The sequence below is a fragment of the Homo sapiens genome, chromosome 22 (assembly GCF_000001405.40).
Source record: "Homo sapiens chromosome 22, GRCh38.p14 Primary Assembly".
In the NCBI taxonomy this organism is placed as follows: Eukaryota; Metazoa; Chordata; class Mammalia; order Primates; family Hominidae; genus Homo; species Homo sapiens.
Genome location: NC_000022.11, coordinates 19,026,661 through 19,048,430, shown reverse-complemented (window position 1 = coordinate 19,048,430; position 21,770 = coordinate 19,026,661). Strand labels below are relative to the sequence as shown.

Here is a 21,770-nt window from a genome sequence, read left to right as displayed (position 1 = left end):
TTGATAGGACGTCCCAAGTCAGCCTCCCTATTTGGGGCTGGAGGCTGGGCGTCCCTTTGCTTCCTCAGTGGTGAGGACTCAGGAGAGTTTATGGAGCATCGCGCAGCAGCAATGGCAGCGTTTGTCACAGAGATGTCTCAGAGACTTTGATGCCACTACTCTAGTGGGCGTGTCTGACACGACCCCTCCAGCTGCCTCCTTCCCATTCTGGGGTGACAGGCAGCATTCACAAATGAACTTGAACTCAAGTGTGGCTGTTTGTTCACAAGTCACCACTGACAGCTTCAAACTTGTCTTCAAACTTACGCCTCCAGGGTTTAAGCCGTTCTCCTGCCTCAGCCTCACCAGTAGCTGGAACTACAGGCGCATGCCACCATGCCTGGCTAGTTTTTGTATTTTTAGTAGAGACGGGGTTTCGCCATGTTGTCCAGACCAGGTCTTCAACTCCTGGCCTCGAGTGATCCACCCACCTCAGCTTCCCAAAGTGCTGGGATTACAGGCATGAGCCACCGCGTCCAGCCTAGACTTCTAATTTATGTCCACATTGGAGCTCTTCCTGTTCTCTAGTATGATGATATGGAGGGTAGTGACAGTTGTCATTGCTTACAGTCATCCATTTTTACCTTAGAATCTTCGAGAAAAAGATGAAGTATTATTCTCAGTTTCGAGATCAGACTCCTCACCACCAGGCGGGGGCTTTAAGGTAGACACTACAGGGAATCTGATCTCAGGGTGATCCTCTCCCTTCCACTTGCAAAAAGAGAGGAGCAGGTGGGCCACTGCTCTCTGAGATGTTAACACCCCTCACACTCCACGGGCATGCTTTGTCATTCTGCACACCGGTGTAGCTGCAGCTCTGTGTGAATTCAGATCTCAAGAGAAATGTAAATCAAAAGTATGAGTTTCTTTCTTTCTTGGGTGCCACAGTAGGAATGAAATGATGGGGACTTTTGGAAGCCCCTGGACTTGTGGCCCCTGTAGAAGAGCAGCTTGGGCAGGGTGTGATGGCCATCTCTGTCTCTAGGGGCCCTGTGGAGGAGAGGCTGCAGCTAGAGGCTGGGCCACAACAGTGAAAGCTGCCCCTGAGTGGAATGTTGTCAGTGTCCCTCCACACTGGGGGGCTGCTGGGTGGGAGGACAAAGCTGTCCTCCAGAGGCTGTGCCTGAGGCTGGGTGAAAGTGGGCACTGTGGCATGTACCATCAGACATGTGCAGTTGACTGTGGTGAGCACAAGGCTACATTTGCAGCCAAGCCCACCAGAGGACCCAGAGCTAGAGGGTGATGCTTGGACCCCATTCTGCAGGGCAGTTTCTCCTCGTATAGGGTGCATGTCTGTTTAGGGCCATGAGAAGCACTGGTTGAGTGCTTATCAAGTTCCCTGTGCCCGGCCACATAACTTTAAACCCCCAGCTTAGTGACTGGCTACAAGAGTCAAACTCTGTTCACAAGCCATGCTACCTGGACTCCTGGTTCCATTTCTCAGGAGTCTACCAGTGCTGCCTTGCCACTCTGTCCAAGCTTTGTAAGAATGCCCAGATGTGTACAAGGATGACCCATTTGTGGGCATGTATGGCCTAAAGAGCCTGCCCAGCCCCAAGGACTTCTTAGCAGAGCAGGGCCCTTAGTGCATCTGGGTGGGCCCAGAGCAGCTGCAGCCCTCTCTCCTGCACGGCCAGAGCGACTTAGCTGGGCCCTGCTCTGCCTGCCCTGTGGCCATGCTTCCATGGGCTCCTGACTCTCCTAGGGCCTTCTTCTGGAAAGTGCTCAAGAACCGAGACACTATCACCAAAACTGGAGACTCTGGGAATAGGATGTCATGTGTTAAGCATCAGAATGTCCCCTCCAACAAGCTAAGAGTGTCTACTCTTGCCACCCTGTCATCATTGTGCTTGAGGTCAAAGCCAGTGCCAGAAGGCAAGAAGAAATGAAAAACCATCCAGGCCAGAGGGGAAGAAATGAAACCATCTCCCTTTGCAGATCACATGATTGCATAGAAAATCCTAGGGAATCTACAGGAAAGTTATTAGAACTAATAAGTGTGTTTAAGCAAGGTCTCCAGATATAAGGTCAACGTAACAAAAATTCATCATATTTATATAATCTATCTGTAACAGTTGAAAATTGAAAATTTTGAGAAAAGTGCCATTAATAATAGCACCAAAAAAAATGAAATACCCAATTATAAATAATATAAAATATGTGCACATTCTGTTTGCTGCAAACTGTAAAACCATGATGACAAAAAGGCTTAAATAAAAGGAAAGATACCATGTTCATGGATCAGGTGTCTCAATATCATTAGGAGGTTAGCTCTTCCCAAATTATAGATTCAGTATAATCCCAACCAAAATTCTAGCAGACATTTTTGTAGGTATTGACAAGCTAATTCTAAAAATCAGGTGGAGCGAGGCATGGTGTCTCGCACCTGTAATCCCAGCACTTTGGGAGGCTGGGGAGGGTGGATCACTTGAGATCAGGAGTTTGTGACCAGTATGGCCAACATGGTGAAGCCCCATCTCTACAAAAAATACAAAAAATTAGTTGGGTATGGTGGCTTATGCCTATAATACCAGCTACTCAGGAGGCTGAGGCAGGAGAATCACTTCAACCTGGGAGGTAAAGGTTACAGTGAGCTGAGATCACGCCACTGTACTCCAGCCTGGGTGACAGAGCGAGACTCCATCTCAAAAAGTAAAAATAAAATAGGGCTGGGTTCAGCGGCTCATGCCTGTAATTGTAGTACTTTGGGAGTCTGAGGCAAGAGGATTGCTTGAGGCCAGGAGTTCAAGACCAACCTGGCTAACATAGCAAGACCCTGTCTCTTAAATAAAAAGGTAGATAAAAGTTGGTGGAAAGGCAAAATAATTAAAATAGCCAAAGTAGTTTTTACAAAGAACAAAGTTGGAGGATCCATGCCACCTAATGTATGAGTTACTGTACAGCCATAGTAATCACAACAGTGTGGTATCGATGAAGGGGCAGACACATAGATCAGTGGAACACAACAGTCCAGAAATAGTCCCACACTACGTATAATCAGGTGATCTCTCTGTTTTTGTTTGTTTAAGACGAGTCAAGTGCAGTCGTGAGAACGGGAAAAGAGTACAACAAGGAGTTTGATCTGTTACTGACTGTGAACAATCAATCGAGATGACTCACTACCTTCAGACCAGCCTAATCTTTGACAAAGGTGCAAGAGCAGTTCAGTGGAGAAAGGATAGTCTTTCAACCACTGGTGCTGGGACAGCAGGACATCCATATGCCAAAAAATACGAACCTTACACTGTCCCTCCTACTGTATGTAAAATTTACTCAAAATGGTCATAGACACAACTGTAAAACCTTGAATTATAAAGCTTCTAGGAGAAAACATAGGAGAGAAATCTTTGTGACCATGGGTTAGGCAACATTTTTAGCATGATCCTTAAAAAAAACAGACAAATTTGGCTTCATCAAAATTGAAAACTTCTGTTCTTTGGAACACACTGTTAAGGAAATGAAAAAATAAGCCCCTGACTGAATCAAAACAAGTATTTGCAAAACACAGATCAAAGGTCTGTATTCAGAATACATAAAAACTCAATAATAAGAAAACAAAACAATGCTATTGAAAAATGGCTTTAGAAGAAGATGTAAATTATTAAACTTTATCAAAGAAGATATAGGATGACAGTCAGGCAGCTGAAACGATGCTCAGTATTGGCCATTAGGGAAACAAACTAAATCCACGTGGGGTACCACCCCTGCTCGAAAGGCTAAAGTAATGAAACTGATAGCATCAAGTGCTGGCCAAGGTGCAGAGCAGCTGAAACTCATGCCGCCCTCTGCCCCTGCTTGCTCTGCTGCTGTCGGGCAGCCCTGATACGATGAGGTTCCCAGAGGCATGGTGAGGTGTTTGGCTGGTGCAGCTGCCAGGCACAGAGCCCACATTGGGTTCCTGGTCTCAGCTTCTGATCCCTGCTGACCTTCTGCTCCCCATGGTGTCTCTGATGGAGATTTTGAAACTGTTACCACTTAACCAAGCTCAATGAAATGGTGAGCTCCTTGTCACTGGAGCTCTTCTTGCACAGGCTGGATCCTCTCTCTGGGAGCTGCAGGATAGCTGAGAGACAAAAGACAACCCCAACTGCACAGCCCAGAACTCCATGGAGAGATCAGCCCTATCAAGGGGCCTCTGGGGCCCCTGGGCTGGCCTCTGGCTTCTGGGGCAGGCTCTCTTCTTTGTGCTTGACTACAAGTGGCTTGGTTCTGAGAGATGATTATTTCCGGTCCCCACCTTGGAGGGACAGTTGGGACCTTGACCGTGTCCTTGGGTTTATTTTAGAACGGATTAAGAGTTAGTCATTGCAAAGGGGCTGCTTTCTTAGGAGCTCCCCTGGGATCTCTGAACTGGCCTCCAATGAACAGGCACGTCACCAGTCCCTGGGCCACTAGGCTTTCTCCCACTGATGACAGTGCCCTTGAGACTGGAGGAGGGTCAGAGGCATCAGGAAAAGCAGCTAATTGGTGAGAGGATGTATCCTTCTCACATATTCACTTCATGTGTCGTCAGCAAAAAATGCAGCTTTTGGAGATGCTTCCTGGCCCCGTGGGAGGAGGACAGGAGCTGGCGCTGCCATCTGTGTGGGCATGGAGTGTACTGGGCTAGCAGGAATGGCTTGAGGGCTCTGGGAACCCAGCCACTCACACGGGGGTTGTGAAGTGTCTCCTTGGGGCAGGCAGTAGGGGTCCTGCCTGCCGAGATTGTTGCAGAGGTGGGAGTGGCCATTCCTAGCTTAGCAGGGTCCCTGCTGGTGTGGGGTCCTCCTGCTTCCAGGAGCTGATGGGTCACTCCTCGTTTTGAAGCCTCCCTGGCCTTCACTCTTGGTCTGTGGAGGAAGCTACTTCTGGGACCACTTCCTGGTTCCATTATTCTGTGACTTCTGTGAGTTGCCAGTTTACCCAAGTCAGGAGTGCATGGAACTGCCAGCCATGTTATAGATGTGTGGCTGGTAGATTCTCCTTTCATGCCTGCTACCACTCATGTCATCTCTGCCTCCCCATGGGCAGCTCATATCGAGCCCCTGTCCCCAGTGTGCACTGCACCAGGGCAGGGTGTGTCCCTCTTGGCGGTGTTGACATTTGGACCAGATACTGTGTGTTGGGGGCTGTCCTGGAGGATGTTGAACAGCACCCCGGCCTCCACCTGCTGAATACTAGTAGCATCCCAGCCAAGTGGTGGTCACGAAAAGCGTGAAATGGTTGAAGAAGAGCAGAGGAAGGCGCAGCAGCTTAGACTCAGTGCTCCTTGGCGTCTAGCCTGGCTGGGACTCAGCTTCAAGCTTCATGGCCCCTCCTGCCTACTCACCCAGCAAAGAGGTGGAGTCGGGTCCACCCAGCCCTCCTACACCTGCGCTTGGTGCGTGTGTACCCAATGTGTGGGTGTGGCTGAGCCGGGAGAGCATCTCAGTGGGGAGCCTGTGAGACCCAGTGTTGTGTCCAGGTGTCATCTGCACGTGTATGCCAGGGCTGGGTGCGTCAGGGGATGCGCATTTTCTCTGCCATGGCTTGTTAAGGATTGGAGTGACAGGCTTCACGCCCAACCACAGCAGAGGCACATTTGTGAAATGATACCTGAGTTGACCGTGCGGCTGCCCACAGGGGCTCACTGTTCCCCTACACAGTCCATCAGGGAGTTGTGGCAATCCGAGTCCCAAGTGTACCTTATACTGTCACTTCTCCCAGTCTGTCACTACCCGGTCCAGGCCTCTGTCATTCCCTTCTCTGCTGCGGCAGGTCCTCCTCCTGGCTTCCTGATGCCCTATGCTACTCCCTTGCAGCCTGTCCTCCCTACGGCAGCCGCCCGAGCCATGCTCCGCAGGGGCGTCACCCCCACTCCAAACTGCCAGCAACTGTCATCCATGAGACCCCTGCCTACCTGGCCAACCCTGGCCTCCTACCAGGAAAGGGCTGTCCCTCACCGCCCCCTGGCTCATTCTTGCTGGGCAACTGAGCACCTTCCTCCCAAGAGCCCAGGCCTCAGACAAAAGGAAGGCTGCTGTTGGACGGACGTGGGAGGCCTGTGTGCAGCCCTGGCCCCTGGAAAAGGATGTGCACCTCTGCAGGAGGGCCGCTCCCCAGCCACACCTGGGGTACACAGCACATGAGCGCAGCCTCCTAGGAGTGCTAGTCCTAGGACAGGAAATCCTAGTTTGCTCCGGTGATGGTCAGAGGGGTGTTGGCACACAGCAGCCTGGGGCCATGGTGAGATGCTCCTCCTGACCTGGGATTCGCTCTTCTGCTTCTGTGCTGTCACCATGTTCTTGATTTTGAGCGGCCTTATTTCACATGTATCCTAAAGATGGTTGGGTGCAGGGAGACACTGTGTGCCTTGTCCACACAGCCCGCCTGGGCAGGAGGACGACAGCATCCCCAGCGTAGCACGAGGGTGGCCCCCTTCTCAGAGCGGCCATTTCCTCCCCTCCCCCTCAGATGGCAACAGTCTGTTTGACTCCATGGCCAGCGGGATGCGCCTGGTCGTCAGCTGCATCTCCTCCTTCCTCATCCTGTCACTGCTGCTCTTCATGGTCCACCGGCTGCGCCAGCGGCGCCGGGAGCGCATCGAGTCCCTGATTGGAGCAAACTGTAAGTGCCCTCTGAGGGCCACAACCCTGGTCCCCATCCCCACCCCAGGTCACCCCATGTCTCCATGAGCTCCCCAGCCCTGGACAGAGAGGGGCAGAGGCAGGTTTGAAGGCCACATGTTGTGGGGTCTGTGTCCTCACCTGTGGGCCAGGAAAGTTCTTGCCAAGACCCTCCTTATTCCCATTGAGCCACAGGGTGGGCAGAACTCGGAGGCCTCTGAGGGTCAGAGGCCCGGATCACCCTTCCAGCTGGAGGGGTGTGGTCAGCCAGAGGCTGGGTCTGACAGAAGTGTCAGCCCAGAGGGACAGGTTGGTGTGGTGAGGGTGAGACATGCCACGGAGCACACCAGGGGTCTCATGGGGATGCCGAATGTGGCCGAGGGGTAGGCAGCGGGGCACAGGTGTGTGCACTCAGGGACGGCAGGCCCAGCCTGGGGGTGGGGGGCTCAGGAGCCAGGCAGCCTGCCCCCAGTGACTTGTCTCTGTTCCCGTTGCACACTTTTGATGGCCCAGTGCACCACTTCAACCTCGGCCGCAGGATCCCTGGCTTTGATTACGGCCCAGACGGGTTTGGCACGGGCCTCACGCCGCTGCATCTTTCTGACGACGGAGAGGGTGGGACTTTCCATTTCCACGACCCTCCACCTCCCTACACGGCATACAAGTACCCGGACATCGGCCAGCCCGACGACCCTCCGCCGCCCTACGAGGCCTCCATCCACCCGGACAGTGTGTTCTATGACCCTGCAGGTGCCTGACTCCCCAGGGAGAGGGAACACCTTGTCAAGTAACCTGGCACGTGGGGCTGAGCCCAGCACTCTTGCCCAGCTGCAGAGGCCTAGGGACCTCACTTCTTTCCGGCTTTGTCTTTGGTTTTTCCTTTAAGGCTTCTCCTGGGGCTGCCCGTGCAGAAGGGGTCCTGATCTCCCTGCCTGGCCGCCCTTGGCAATCTGTGCAGAGAGCTCTGAGAAGGCCTGGGACCCCTCCCTCCTACCTCCCTGCCTTCTGTGAGCACCTGTCATCTGGGCAGCCCTCAGGGCCCTCAGCCCAGCTCTAGAGACCTGGGGAGCCCGACAGTGGTGGTTGTGAAGACAGGGCTGGCCCAGACCCAGGAGCCAATCACTTGTCTGTAGACACATGAGCTAGAGACACCATGGTGACAGCCCCTCCTGTCGTGTCAGGAGGCAGCTCTGTGAGGTGGGAGGAAAGCGTGGCTTCTGTGCTACTGGCCCATAGTTGGAGCCTACCACCCATCTGAGAGTGGGCGCCATTCCTCAAGGCTGTGTAGCTAAGGAGTGGCAGGCCCCTGACCCCTGGCCTGTCTCTGTCTCTGTTGAGCAGTGCAGGTGTCCCATCCCATCTCCCTGTGCATTAGGCCCCCTAACACACACAAACCTGTAGTATATTTGGTAGGCAGTGCCACCCCAAAGTGGCTGGCTCCTTGCATGCCTGCCCATCTCGGCAGAATGGGCATTGTGAGGCTGGGGCTGCTGTGCCTAAAGGTCTCAGTCCTGTTCGTTTGTTTAGTCAGCTGCCACAGCTCTTGCATGATCTGGGGGTGCAGAAAAGACTTGCATTTGACCCCTGCCCTCATGACACAGATTGTCACAGTCTTCCAGGGTAGGACCAGCTTCCTGCAAGGGATGGTGGTGGGTGGCAGCAGATCCCAGACACCTGTGTGGGCCAGGCTGCAGAGCAGGGTGGGGGCTGTGAGGGGCTGGCCGGGAGGGAGGTGCATCACCGGGGCCTTGTGCTGTTAGCTTTCAGAGACAGCCTATGGTAATGACAAGCAGGCAGCCCAGGCGCAGTGGCTCACACCTGTAATCCAGCACTCTGGGAGGCTGAGGCGGGAGGAGGGGTCTCACTATGTTGCCCAGGTTGGTTCGAGACCAGCCTGTGAGACCTCCTTCTCCACAAAAAATTCAGAACTAGCCGTGCATAGTGGGCACAGCTGTAGTCCCAGTTACTGGGCAGGCTGAGAATGGAGGATCACCTGAGCCCAGAATTCAAGGCTGTCATGAGCCATGGTCACGTCACTGCACACCAGTGTGCAATCTTTTAAGATCCTGTCTCTTAAAAGAAAAAAAAAGCAAGTAATAAAGATCGGGCAAAACAAAGCGAGTCGACTGCCTACCACACAGCCTGCCTTGGATCAGAGCTTCCTGCAAACACCTGTGTGGTTTTCCAGGCCGCTCACTGCAGCCCTGTTGCCCACACTCCGGTTGCCACATTCCAGCTGCAGCCCTGAATGTTCTTCCACCCACCTGGGCCCAGTGCCTCCCTGATGACAAATGCCCCTGCCTTCTTGCTGAGCCGGGTCTTCACCTTACTGAGTCTGAGACGGTTTCCCTTTGGGCCCCTCTGTTCTAGTGACTGCTGGTCAGTGTGTCTCCCCTACCTCACACCGATGGTGGGACAGGCCCGTGTCTGCCTTTGTGAGATGGGCCCTGCACCTTGCATATACCAGGTTCCCAGCCACAGGGGGCAGTAGGTACAACAGGTGTCATGTGGGGCAGGCTCCTCCTTCAAAATCTGAGGCCCGGGGGAGCCACCCAGGTCCTGCTCACCACCCAGCTTCAGGGGGGCCTTCAGGCAGGAGGAGTGTCTCCTGGTTTTGCCTAGCTCCCCTGCATCCCCTGTGCCAGGCCCGTACCTGCCTCTGACACCCCTCTGTCTCTTCCTGCAGACGATGATGCTTTTGAGCCTGTGGAGGTCAGCCTGCCAGCCCCTGGGGATGGTGGGAGTGAAGGTGCATTACTCCGGCGCCTGGAGCAGCCTCTGCCCACTGCGGGGGCCTCTCTGGCAGACCTGGAAGACTCTGCCGACAGCAGCAGCGCCCTGCTCGTGCCCCCTGACCCTGCCCAGAGCGGGAGCACCCCAGCTGCAGAGGCACTGCCAGGGGGTGGCCGCCACAGCCGCAGCTCCCTCAATACTGTGGTGTAGACGGCCTGGCCTGTACCCCAACGGTCTGGGAGCACCTGTCTGTTGTAGAAAACACCGGTCCCTGGGGAGACTTGAAAGGCCCCTGTCCCAGCCTGGACGCCACGCACTGCCGCACGTCACTGGCGGGCTCGCGTGTGTACATAGAGACCACAGCCCGCCTTCTGCCAAAAGAAGTGATGGCCTGCACCGAGCTTCCTTGAGGGCTTCAGAAACATGCATAGCTTTGGATCACTGTCTTCTCCTTTATAAATGGCAGAAGAGTGACAAAATTCATTCAGACCGCACATGTTAGAGGCAGGGAATGAAGAAGGTACTGTGGGCCATGGCCACACCTGATGCGTTTTTGGTGGGCTTACTTGGTGCAGTGTGCTGTCCAGAGAGACCTGCTGACCCAGTCTGGGACAGGCACAGTGGGAGCTGCCACAGTGCCCCTTGCTGGCCGCCCTCAGGAGGGGGCCTCTGGACCGTCAGTGTGGCGTAGGCAGTGGGTCTGCTTCAGGGAGGCAGCCTCTTGACTTTGTCACAACGGTTGCACTGAAGATGGCCCCCACAAGCCCAGTTGTGAATATCAAGGTGACCCTGCCCCTGGCTGGGAGCTCCCCTGGGGCTCTGGAACCTGAAGCCCTGAGAAGGAGAGCTTGGAAGGAGGTTGAGCTCTTCACTGTGTCTTTCCATCTGGGCTCTGCAGCCCAGCTCTGTGGCAGGAGGCCTGACCCCACCCCATCAGTCCCTCTCCCAGCATTGCTGTGCATGGCTCCCTCAGGAAGAAGCTCTGGAGTGGGGCCGAGGCCCCAGATGCTCTGCTGGGGTCTGGGGACTGAGCTGCCTCCTGTCTCTCCACTCTGGAGCCCTGGGCTCTTGCCTCCTGTTGAATTGCCCCTGGGCCTGCCCCCGGCCCCATTTGTGCCATAAAGGGTTGCTTCATTGCAGGAGGGGTGGCTGAAACCACCATCCTGGGCTGCATCTATCTCCTTAAAGTCCACTCCTTACATCACCGCCACTACTGCAGCTCAGTGCCCAGCGGCCGCATGCACACCTCCCGGCCCCTCCTCAGCAGCGCAGGGGCTGGGGGCCCTTCCTGGCACCCTTTTGCCTGACGGACCCTGTTGCCTGCTCCTGGGCAGTGGTTTTGTTGCCTGACACAGGGCCTTTAACATTTCTGAGGTTTGGAGATTAAGCGGGTTCTGTGCGATTTTTAGCACATCCATATCTTTTCTACGTTGAATGTCTGGATCTTTCCTTTGTATGTTTGTGTCTCTGTGTGTGTATGTGGCCAAGCGTCTGCAGGTGAGGGTGGCACATGGAACTTCACGGGTCACTGGGGGCCCACTCTTCCAGGGTCATCGATGCATCCTGGGCTGTGCTGAGGCAGTGCTGTCTCGCTCAGTCTTTCCAGACCAGCGGGGCAGCACCTGGGAGGCCTGTCTGAAGCATGCAGTTCTGTGGTGCTGCTCGGGGATGGACTCCATGCACAGTCCACTTCTTGACACATTCTCACACTGTGGCTGGAGACCCATTTTTTCCATCCCATGTGGAATGAGAATCTTGAGTTGCCCACAGACAGACTTGACCTTTGTGCCAGAACTGTCCAGAGCTGTGAGTTTTGTTACTGAATTGCCTGTCCCTGAGCTTGGCCTGCTGGAGCATGATGCTGGAGGCTGTGTGCGGGCAGGCTTGTGCTCCCCTTGGAGAAGGGCTGCTACTTAACAAGGAAGTCCTGGCCACAGGAGTCCCCTACTGGCTGCAGAGGACGAAGCAGGAAGCATGCCGTGGATCCCACATGCACTGGGGCAGGGCAGCCAGGTTCCAGAGCAGCAGGCATGTGCATTATGGGTGCCAGGTGGCCAGTGAGGGCCCGAGGACCACGCAGCAGAGTCCCCCACGGGCCTGAGCCTGAGAGCTCAGAGGATTCCTGCCAGGCCTCAGAACTGTGTGTGCGGGACAGGGTGGCTGGCACGAGATGTGTGGGACTGGGACGCTTCCTTTGGGGACCAGAGGAACATTAGGGGCCGGTCAGACACGTAGGGGGCAGTGAGGAAACGGGGTAAAGTGGACCATGCAGGCTGCAGAGGGTGGGCCTTGGGCTGGCCGGGGTTGCTGGGTGGCCCCTTCCCCATGGGCCTCCACAAGCACTCAGGCCACTGGCACGTTGGGCCAGGCAGAAGGTCCACATGGCAGGGCTGCCTGGAACACCGCTGCCACTGTGGCTCCAGGAGGCCCTTGGGAGCATGAGGAGAGCTGGACTCGCTCATCTGTTCTTGCACCACCATCCAGAATGCCCCCTTTGCAAGGCCTGCTGCAGTCCCCAGTCTGACCAGCAAGTCCCGGGGTCACCCTTGCTGAACCTTGTGCTCCAGGGGTCCTCCTCCTCTAGGACCAGCTTGCCACGGTTTCTCAGAGCCCAGGTGCCCTCTGACCTGCCATGCGGAGGTGGGATTTGATACTGTACATTGTCTTGATGCCTGTTTTTTTATGTTTTCATTAAGGGTTTTTAGTTTTTGGTTGGGTTGACACTAACTTTTCTTAAGATGCTGTGAGAATCATTTCATCCAAATGCCAAATAAACTTGTGTTCCGGAAGAGGCATGGTTAGTCCTTGGTGTGGCCCCCACGGCTGCCACAGGCTAAGGTGGAAGAGGCTGGGTACCCACCTTTCAGCAGAATGCACCTAGGGTTTGCAGCCCTTGCAGGCGTCCATCAAACCCCCTGAGGACCAGGCAGAGCTGAGCCTGGAGCCCCTAGGTGGAGTGTGCAGGGAGAGCAGCAGCCCTGAGCTGCCTACAGCTATCCTGCAGCACCCAGCCCTGCTTGGGGCATCGGCTGCTGCCTTGGCAGGTGTTGCTGACGTGCACAGGATCCACATAAAGGCAAGGCTGCTTGACACCATCTGGGAGCTAGCATGGGACGGGGTGGTAGGGCAGGGCTTGGAACCTGGCCGTCAGCGCCATTTCCTCTAAGCTCCCCTCATCATCCGGGTGGCTGGAAACAGCCCCTCCCTCCAGTCCAAGCCACCTAATGTTACAAAGTAGCCTAGGTCCTCTGGGGCCTCTTCACTCATGTCCAGCAGTGCCATCTCTAGGTCTCAGAGGGTAGTGGGCCCAGGAAGTGTGATTGCATGCCCTGCTCTGGGGGCACTCCAGATGTGTATACTGGGGGGACGTCCTGCGGCCGGACACGAGAGGAGTCAGGGTTAGGAAAGGAACTGGTAAGTCCCTTGGCAGGGATGGGAGCCTCGAGGATGTGGCCCCTCATTTTTTATCCCATCTGCTGGGGCAGGAGTGGAGTGGTGGTGTTGAGTCCCGAGCACACAGGTCACTGTCAGCACTCTGGACAGAGCCCCGAGCCCTGCCTCTGGGTAGGGGCTGTCTTCCCATCCCCAATGTGGGTAGGGCCCTGCCCTCTGGCGATTGGAAAGAGGCGCAGGGTGCAAAGAAGTCCCCTCCTCTGACCTCCTGCAGGGCTCCGTCTTGGCCTGGATCCGCAGGGGGGCCTGGGTAGGAGGGAGGCTGTGGTCTTGGGATGGGGTGGCAGTTCCGGGCCCACAGTGGGGCAAGAGACATCCTACACCTTCCTCCCATCCTTGCCCCGAAAGTCATGGGCACTGGGGTCCAAGGTGCCCTCACTATTTGACCTTTCTTGCTGGTGGCTTTGGTGTGTCATTCTGGTCCCCAGCCTCTGTTTCCTGGACTGTAAGTGGGGATAATAATAGGTCACCCCTCCCCTGCAGGATTAACCTCAGCGATTGTTGCTGGCATCAGTGCAGCCCTGGGACCAGAGCACACCTGGGTGAGTTTGGAGCGCTCGCGCTCTTCCTGGTGGCCCTGCCTGGGCACCGACCCCTCCCATCCTCTCCTCAGTAGCCACGCCCCTAGCCCAGCTAGCTAATGAATAAATATGTAGTAGCCAGGCCAGCATCCTGGCTGCGTGGTCTAGCCACTTTCTAGTCCTTCCTAGCTGCGGCTGCCACTGAGCCACGCACGCCCCTGGCATCATGCTCGCCTTGCGGTGCAGCTGGTGTGGCGCAGACTCTGAGAGTGAGCACCAGGACTCTTCCTGTCTGGCCTCCAATCTACCCTCTTGCCATGCTCCACCACCCCTTAGGTCTTGCCACTGGGAGTGGGGAGGGACTGGGGAGAGAAAATACTGAGGTAGGGGTGACAGGAGAGAAGGTTCTTCACTGGCCTCCCCTGGCCTAAACCCCTGACCTACTTCATTCTTGGACCCCAGCTGATGGGATGGGGCTTGGAGAGGGCCCAGATGACTGGCCTCTCAGCTCAGCCTCCTGCCCACTGTCTCTATAGGTGCCTGGTGCTATGACTCCCAGGACCTCAAGTATGGTGAGGACAGAGTGTCATGTGAGGCTGTGTCAGATCAGTCTGTGTCCTGGGACCACCAGAGCATGTGCCAGTGGTGCAAGAGTGGCCAAGAGACAGTCTGCACCCTGCACTCTGTGGCCTTTGCAGGTTTCTGTCTGTAGTCGTCTGCCCCAGTAGACTGACTGGGCATCAGGTGCAAGTGCGTGACTGTCCCCCTGTGTGTGAGTCTGGGCCTGCTGTGATTGCCGGTCCCGAGTCAGTCAAGGCTGGTGTGCCCGTTACTGTGGCCAGCCCAAGTGTGTGCAGGTGATAGAGGTCCCAGTGTGGGTGTGCAACTGTGTGCCGGAGACCCTTCCACCTTCATCTCACCATGGGGCAGCCAACTGGGAGACTAGATGGATAGGTCAGATGCAGGGTACAAGAGAAGGGGGGTGCTGTGACCTGTTCAGGTGTGGGGGAAGCAGGGAGCTAGGTTTCCTGAGGCTGGGCTATCCTCTGGGTGTATGGGGGCCACTCTCTGCTGCACCCCCAGGCTGCCTCCCTGACCCCCCCCCCACCCCAAAGGCCCCAGTCCTTGTTCCAGCAGTCCCCACCCACTGGAAGAAGCTGGCCCCCTGCCTGTGGGGGCCCAGGCCAGTCCCTCATCAACATTGACTTTCACAGGGTCCGGCGGAACTCTACCCTAGGGCCCTTCATCTTCCGAGGCTATGACTCAGCACCTCCAGGCCCTTGGACCCTGGAGAATGACAGCCACACAAGTCAGCACCCTGTGGTCAGGACCCCTCCTAGGCAGAGGCAGGAGCCCCACACAGGGCATGAGAGCTCCTGCGTGTACACAGGGACCAGGACCCCCTACACACGGGAGCTGAGACAACCTACAGGGCCAAAAACCCTCCACAGGGGCTAGCTTCAGAGGAAAGGAGCATCCTCACACAGCAGTCCAGATGCACCCTCTGTGTAGGTGCCAGGTCCCACCTTACAAATCACAACCAGCCATGGCCCCTGAGGACCAGGAGTCAGGGTCTCTGGCAGGGCCAGGATCCCTGACCACACACAGCTGGGCTTAGAGCCCCACACCAGGAGGGCTGCCCTCTGCCCTCTTCCATGCCATGCTGGGTGTGGGGGGGGGAAGGGTTTCCCCTGCAGTCTGTGGAGCTCTGCTCTGCTGACCAGCAGGAGCCATGGACACCATGGGTTCCATTCCATGGAGGCAATGGGGCCGCACTGGGGAGAAACCTGGCCTGAGGAAGGGCCTCTGCTCATACCCTGTGCCCTAATGGCACAAGATGGACAGGTGGTGAGGTAGAGAGGGTGTCGTGTGCCTCCTCCCCTTCATTGCTACTCTGAATGGACACTGATCCTCAGAACCACCTGGAGATTTGGGAGGCTGGGCTGCTGTTGCCTGTCTACCGCGCACTGCAGCTGCACTTCAACTGCCGGCGGTGGGGGGGCCCGAGGCGAGCAGACTCGGAGCACAGCCTGGACAGGCAGCGCCAGGCTATGGAGGTAGACTCGGGAACAAGGTGGGGTGGCCGGAGTGCTCCCACGGAGGTGAGAGAGAGCAAGGTGAGGGCAGCTGGGTATCTCCCACATCTGTGCCTCCCCCCAGATGCACGTGGTCCACAGTAACACAAAGTACCAGAGCATGGAGGAGGCACCACGCCACGGTGATGGGCTCGAGTGCAGGCCCTGCTGCTGGAGGTGCTGCTGGCGGTGAAGGCAGGGCTGTGATTCTATGTATGTTTCCAAAAAAGGGGTCCATGGGGATCCTGGAAGTGGACAGGCCAGGCCTGTGGAGTCCGTGGGGGGATCTCTAGGGTCTATAGGATCTGTGGGAGGATGGGGCGGTGGGAATGCCTGAATCGGCAGGGCCAGTGGCGGCGAGAACCCTCCACCCCATTTCCCAGATGCCAGATGCCTCCTGCCACTGGGAGCCTCCTGCTTAGAGTACCCCAGCTGAGTTCCCTCTTCAGAGACTCCCTCACTCAGAACCCCTCGCACTTGGAGCCCCTCCCAGGAGCAGGACTGTAGCAACACCAACTTCTGCGCCATAGTGTCGGGCTTGAGGAAGGTGCCTGAGCCAGGTGAGGAGCCACCGGGTCGTTTTCCGGCTCAGGGGCGGGGGGTTTGCTGGGGATGGCACCAGCAGGGCACAGGGAGGCTGGTTCCAATCCCCCTCCCTCTGCCGCCCGGGGCTCTCAGTGAATCTGATGTCCACCTTCCCGCTGGCGTCGATGCGGCCCAACACCTCGAGCTACTGTCGCTTCGCTGGGTCGCTGACCCCGCCTGACTGCGAGCCCACGGTGCTCTGGACCGTCTTCGAGGACCCCATACCCATCCGGTGGGTGCAGGTGGAGCCACCGTCCCCCCTCGCCCCCCACACCCCTCCCCGGGCCTTGCCTGGCTCCTCCCGCAGGCGCTGCCCCTCTCCCACCCCGTTTTGATCTCTTTGCCCTGCACCCTCAGATGACCCTGTTCTACACCCTGCCCCAGGCTGGACCCTCCCACTTTCACCCCATACCGCTCACGGGTAACTTCCGCCCCCAGCAGCCTCTTTTTTTTTTTTTTTTTTTTGAGACGGAGGCTCACTCTGTCGCCCAGGCTGGAGTGCAGTGGTGGAATCTCAGCTCACTGCAAGCTCTGCCTCCCAGGTTCATGCCATTCTCCTGCCGCAGCCTCCTGAATAGCTGGGACTACAGGTGCCCGCCACCAGGCCCGGCTAATTTTTTGTATTTTTAGTAGAGACGGGGTTTCACCGTGTTGGCCAGGATGGTCTCGATCTCCTGACCTCCTGATCCGCCTGCCTCGGACTCCCAAAGTGCTGGGATTACAGGCTTGAGCCACCGTGCCCGGCCCACAGCAGCCTCTTAAGGGGCACGCAGTCTTGGCCTCTCCGAGAGCCTCGGTCCCCGCAGCAGCCCCCTGCTCTTCCCCCACCCTAGCAGTTGTGCACTGCGCTCTGATGGGCCTGGGGCTCAGCCTGTGGTTCTGTCAACCGTGGGCGACCCTCCATGTGAAATAATGAAATAATGCACAGAGTGACCTTAGCCTAATGTAGCCTGGAGGGGGTGGGTGCGTGACCCGGCGTGGTCCCCCATTGCAAGAGGGGCATTTCCTGCCCTAATCCCACTGAGGCCTCAGTGTGCCTGTCTGTTCCGTGGGAGCCCTCTGAGTGACCCTCTCCTACCTCAGCAGAACCCGGGCCTCTCCAGGTTCCTCTCAGAGGGAGAAGGGCCCCCACCCTCATCCTATACATTGTGTCTGAATCCCCTGGTCAGATGGAAGGAGAACATCTAGCAGTCAGAAATTCCACCATTAGGCCAAGATTACATTATTTTATTTTAAAACTAAGCTGGGTGGCCAACCCAGGGACACCGTGCTCTGCTAAATGATGACTCCAGCTACATTTCCCGAGGCCAAGAGATGAGAAGCTGCTGGCTCCAAGCTCCGCTGCAGGCTGCCCTGGCTGAGCGGGTGCTAGGCACCGCGGAGCGCTGCCTGGTGCTCTGAAGCCATGCCCCAGTGCCTCCCTGGGAGTTCTGCTGTGGAGTCTGTGTGGAGGCTGACTCTGGAGAGATGTTTGTGTCCAGGTGGCTGCCTGTGGTCTGGCTAAGTAAAGGGGTGAGTATTCTTGGTGTCACTGTCCAAAGCAAAGTTGTGTCCATGGGACACAGACTAGGTGAGGCTCTGTGTCCAGGTGATGCTGTCCAGTGAGAGGGGGTTGCAGTCAGAGTGAGGCTGACCGGAGGCCTCTGTCCAGTTGGTGCCCTGTGGAATGTGATTACATACTGGTTGACACCATCCTGAGGACCATCACCAGCTGAGTGTCTCAGCCGCCCTGTGTCCCTGGGTTCTGTGCTCTTGTGTGTGGTTTGACACTATTCCAGTGCGTGGAGACCCTGCCTCCTCACTGAGACCTTGCAAGAAAAAGAACCTGCAGTCACCCCAAGGAAGAGGAGTCTCGGCTGTTCCCTGGAGGCTGACCCAGCCCTGGCCCAAAGGCTGACCCAGACCCAAGGCCCAAAGGCCCACCCAGACCCAAGGCCCAAAGGCCCAGCTCTAAGGTCCAAAGGGGCTCCACCCTGTTCTCTAGCCGGACTCAGTCTCTGGCAAGGACCCCGGCTGCCAGCTGCACTCCCTAGACGCACGTGGCCCACCCCCTCCTTCCAGTACCGGAGCCCTAACTGGCGGCACCCGGGCACCCTTTTGACTCAGAGCCACGCTCCACGAGGGGGACCGATCTGCTCACTTGCCCCGTCCTGGGGGTACCAGAGTAGCCAGCGCGACGCCTTCCGCACCTCGCCTAGGCTGCCCTTGTGCGGCCGCCCTCAGTCCCCGCCACCTTGCGGGGCCCCAGGCGGCACTGGCATCTTCTTGTGGTTCTTCCTGGCCGGGGCTCGGTGCGCTCCGCATTCTGCTGGGCCGTCCGGGGCGTCGTCTGCGGGCCTGGAGGCGGCGACCAGGGCGCTCACGGTGCCGAGCGTCCGCGGCAGGGTCGGGCCGCGGGGCGCGGCGCGGGGGACGGCGCGGGGCTCGCGGCGGGCAGGCGGGGACGGCGGCGGCGGCAGCAGCGCGCGCAGGGCATCCAGCTCCGCTCGAAGCTCCGCGCGCAGCGCCTCAATCCCGGCGCCCAGCTCCTCGCGCACTGCCGCCAGGCCCTCCTGCAGCCGCCGCTCGCTCACCTCCAGGACCCCCGCCGGGTAGGTGGCCCCGCCGCGGGGCTCCCCGCATACCGAGCACACGGAGCCCGCGGCTGTGCGCGCCGGTCCTCTCGCCCGCGCCCGGCCGCCCCGGCCCCCGCACGCTCCACCAGCTTCAGCAGCCGCGGCACCTCGGACCGCGAAGCCGCTTCGGCCCGGAGCTGGCCGCGCAGGCGAGCCATCCGGCCCGGGGCTCGGGCGTCTTCCTGGCCCGGCCCATTGGATTGCGGCCCCGGATCCCGCCGGCGGCCCGTGCCGCGCCGCAGCACCTCGCTGGCTCTGTACGCACTACGCGCCTGGGCCCACGGGCGGCCGGGCTCCGCCATCCGCCCTGCTGCCTCCACCGCCGCCAGCGCCCGGGATGGCCGGGAGCCCCAGGCTGCAGCCTAGCGACCGCTGGGGCCCAGGCGACGCACCGTGGAGGGGGCCCGCGGGACGGCTGTGGGAACGACCAAAGCCCTGGGGGTTCCGGTCTGGGGCGCAGGGAACCCCGGCAGGGCCGGGTCTCGGGCAGCCCGGTTCCCAGGGGACCCTGCGGGAACGACGACGTTGTGGGCAGGTCCTCACAAAGGGCATGGCCCAGTTTCTGGGCATAGGTGACATGGAGCATCGCCAGCCAAAGACCAGGCACCACCCGCTAGACACGAGTCAGGAACTGAGCTCACATTTTACACTGGAAGCTACTGTCTCCATCATAGTCAAGGGAAAGCCAGGAGTGGTCATGGACCCCACAGCCCTTTTCAATGGCTCAGGGCGACGTCCTTCCATGTAGTCCAGGCCATTATCTCCTCACCCTGTCCCCTAGTCCACACAGCTGGAGGAATCCATCCAGGTGGCATCTCCAGCCCCAGGCTGCTGGCCCTTCCATGGGAGCTCTTCAGGGTCTCCCTTACTCTCCAAGGCGGTCTGCCTAGGGCCTCTGGAAATCCCTGGCCATCTCAAGCTGGGTTTTTTGTTTTGTTTTGTTTTGTTTTTACAAACAGGATCTTGCTGTGTTGCCCAGGCTGGAGTGCAGTGGTGCAATCATAGCTCACTGCAGCCTCCACCTCCTGGGCTCAAGCGATCCTCCCACCTCAGTCTCCTGAGTAGATGGGACTACAACTGTGCACCACCATGCCCGGCTAATTTTTTTTAATTTTTTTTTTTTTTGTAGAGATAGGGTCTCACTGTGTTTCCCAGGTTGGTCTTGAACTCCTGGCCTCAAGTGATCCTCCTGTCTTGGCCTCCCAAAGTGCTGGGATTACAGGCATGAGCCACCATGTCCAAGCCTGTCTGTGTCTTTAACCTCCTCTAATCCAACAGTCTTCTTCATCCTTCTGGGTCTTTGCATAATTCCTCTCCCCCCCCACCCCCGCCATTTTCCTGGTGGCTCTCACTTTTCCCACTTAGATAGGGAAACGTTCCATGACCACCCCATCCCACACTGGGGACCTCGAGCCCCTCCTCCACAGCACCCTTCACAGTTGTATTTAAATGACTGTTTTCCATCCACCCACTGTGGGGTCTCTGAGCCCAGGGCTGGGTCATTTCTCCTGGGCCGAGTGTGGCACTAAGCATACTGAGTGCTAGCCTGCACAGAGGCCAGGCCCGGGTGGGCCCCAGGACAGAGCTGTCAGTGGCTGTCTTGCCATGGAGTGAGTGGATGAATCAGCAGGGCTGGGATCCTCTCCCATTTTACAGTAGGAGGCTGGGGAGAGGAGCTGGCCAGCCCGTCCACCTCTGCAGCCTGGCATCTGAGGCCCTCATGGCATCCCTGCTGGTCTGCCTTCCCCTGCAGCCCTTCCACCCTCTGTGGAGCCCTCACTACTGCACCCTACTCCTTCTCACCCCAGTGCCTCTGCATAAGCAGTGCTGCCTGTGGCCGCCACAGGGCCCTAGGTATGGGCAGAGAGTAGTATCCCCCACACAGCATGCTGTTCTCCCTGTACCCCCAGGGGCTAGTTAGCACTCTGGGTGCCCTGGACTCTGGGGCCTCCCTCAGCAAATTGTGGAGGGTGGCCTGGCATGAATCCAGGCAGATCTGGGAAGGGACATGGCAAGACAGCCCCTGGAAGCTGTGTCCCCGGGTCCACCGGGATCTGGCCCCTGCAGGTCAGTGCATGTGTGCATGTGTTGGGGGGGGGATTGAGGGGACCGCTAATACTGTCCTCAAGCAGCTGCTGAGGAGAAGACTGGGTCCCTCTAGTCATGTTCATCCACTCAATCACTCCCTGCAGCCCGTCTCTCTGGAAGGTGCAGGAGGAGGTGAGAATTGGGCACTCTGTCAACCCCTCAGACTCCCCCATTCCTGCTGAGTCACCCGTCCTCTGGGACCTCCAGCAGCTGGCTGTGCTGATCCCTAGAGCCTCATTAGCCATTCTCTCCCTCCCCCCAGTCATTAAAACACTGCCAACAAGAGCGCCCTGGGTTCTTTTCCCCAGCCCTACTGGAGACGGGCTGTGTGACCCAGGGGCTCTGCCCTCTCTGAGCCAAGTCTTCACCTGTGAAATGAAGAGATCTCTGAGGTCCCCAGGACGGATGACAGGGAGGCCTGGACGGTGAAGAAGGTGCAGGAGAGAGTCCAGATTTGCAGAAAGAGCTGTTAGTTTTGTGATCTCTGCCTGGAGGTTTATGGACAGGTTGGAAGAGAAGCTGAGCCATTGCAATGAGTCCAGATTAGGGCTTGTTCCTGCAGGGGCTACAGATGTGGGGGCTGGCACTTGTGGCAGAGGGTTCCAAAGTCATGGGCATAGAGAAGACAGGTTGGCAGGAGCAAGGGCAGAATGGGAGCGGGGTCCTGGGGGTCCTGTTGGGCCCTGAGGAGGACTGCAGAGGTGTCGGTGAGGGGTGGACAGGCAGGCGTGTCAGCACAACCCTGAGCCCCTGAGCTCAAGTGCAGGGATGGCCGTGAAGCAGGTGATGGGGACCCTGGCTTGAGCTTCATCGGTAGCGGGGCTGGGGTGGACACCGGGGACTGGCGGAGAGGAGATGGGGTGGGGGCTGGTCAAAGCAGTGTGTCCCTCAGGGAACGTGGCAGAGCGGGGCGCGCACACAGGTCTGCTCTCCAGTTCCTCCGGGAAGTTCCTCAAATTCAGCCAGCTCCAGCTGCCCCTGGCACAGAGGAGCTGACTGAGGCTCCAGTGCAGGGCCTGCTCCTTCCCCTCCTGTTCCCCTCAGTGTGCCCTGGGCCGGGGGCCAGGCATGGTGGGG

General features: G+C 57.8%; 2 protein-coding genes, 2 long non-coding RNA genes and 1 pseudogene across 9 annotated transcripts in view, besides 2 other annotated features; 3 read left to right on the top strand and 2 right to left on the bottom strand.

The window, feature by feature from the left end:
- Positions 1–12,145, top strand: part of DGCR2 (DiGeorge syndrome critical region gene 2) — an 86,127-nt gene extending 73,982 nt beyond the window's left edge. For all 5 annotated transcript variants that reach the window (NR_033674.2, NM_001173534.2, NM_001173533.2 and 2 more), the window contains 3 exons: positions 6,472–6,624; positions 7,137–7,373; positions 9,310–12,145. Coding sequence is in view for 4 of the 5 variants with exons in the window: in NM_001173534.2 (NP_001167005.1) it covers positions 6,472–6,624; positions 7,137–7,373; positions 9,310–9,566 (647 nt within the window). In the remaining variant the exon portion in view is untranslated. The remainder of the gene's footprint in view (positions 1–6,471; positions 6,625–7,136; positions 7,374–9,309) is intronic.
- On the top strand, positions 56–2,269 carry DGCR11 (DiGeorge syndrome critical region gene 11). Its single transcript, NR_024157.1, has one exon. It is a non-coding gene; the product is annotated as a DiGeorge syndrome critical region gene 11 (long non-coding RNA).
- Positions 11,139–11,759: an enhancer, noted in NCBI's record as "H3K4me1 hESC enhancer chr22:19024185-19024805 (GRCh37/hg19 assembly coordinates)". NCBI's record gives its function as "activates a minimal SCP1, AML or CMV promoter by ChIP-STARR-seq in naive H9 embryonic stem cells {active_cell/tissue: H9 hESC(naive)}" and the evidence as "EXISTENCE:reporter gene assay evidence [ECO:0000049][PMID:30033119]".
- Positions 12,243–12,412: a silencer, noted in NCBI's record as "silent region_13451". NCBI's record gives its function as "represses an Ori minimal core promoter by ATAC-STARR-seq in GM12878 lymphoblastoid cells {active_cell/tissue: GM12878}" and the evidence as "EXISTENCE:reporter gene assay evidence [ECO:0000049][PMID:35858748]".
- Positions 13,509–16,903, top strand: CA15P1 (CA15 pseudogene 1; annotated as a pseudogene).
- DGCR5 (DiGeorge syndrome critical region gene 5) overlaps positions 17,189–21,770 on the bottom strand; it is a 60,775-nt gene continuing 56,193 nt past the window's right edge. Inside the window, exon 6 of the long non-coding RNA NR_110533.2 lies at positions 17,189–17,649. This is a non-coding gene — a long non-coding RNA (DiGeorge syndrome critical region gene 5). The remainder of the gene's footprint in view (positions 17,650–21,770) is intronic.
- Positions 18,210–18,907, bottom strand: FAM246C (family with sequence similarity 246 member C (gene/pseudogene)). 2 transcript variants are annotated; one of them, NM_001396027.1, is given in 3 exon segments: positions 18,210–18,629; positions 18,631–18,665; positions 18,667–18,907. In NM_001396027.1, coding segments are annotated over 3 exon segments (696 nt in total).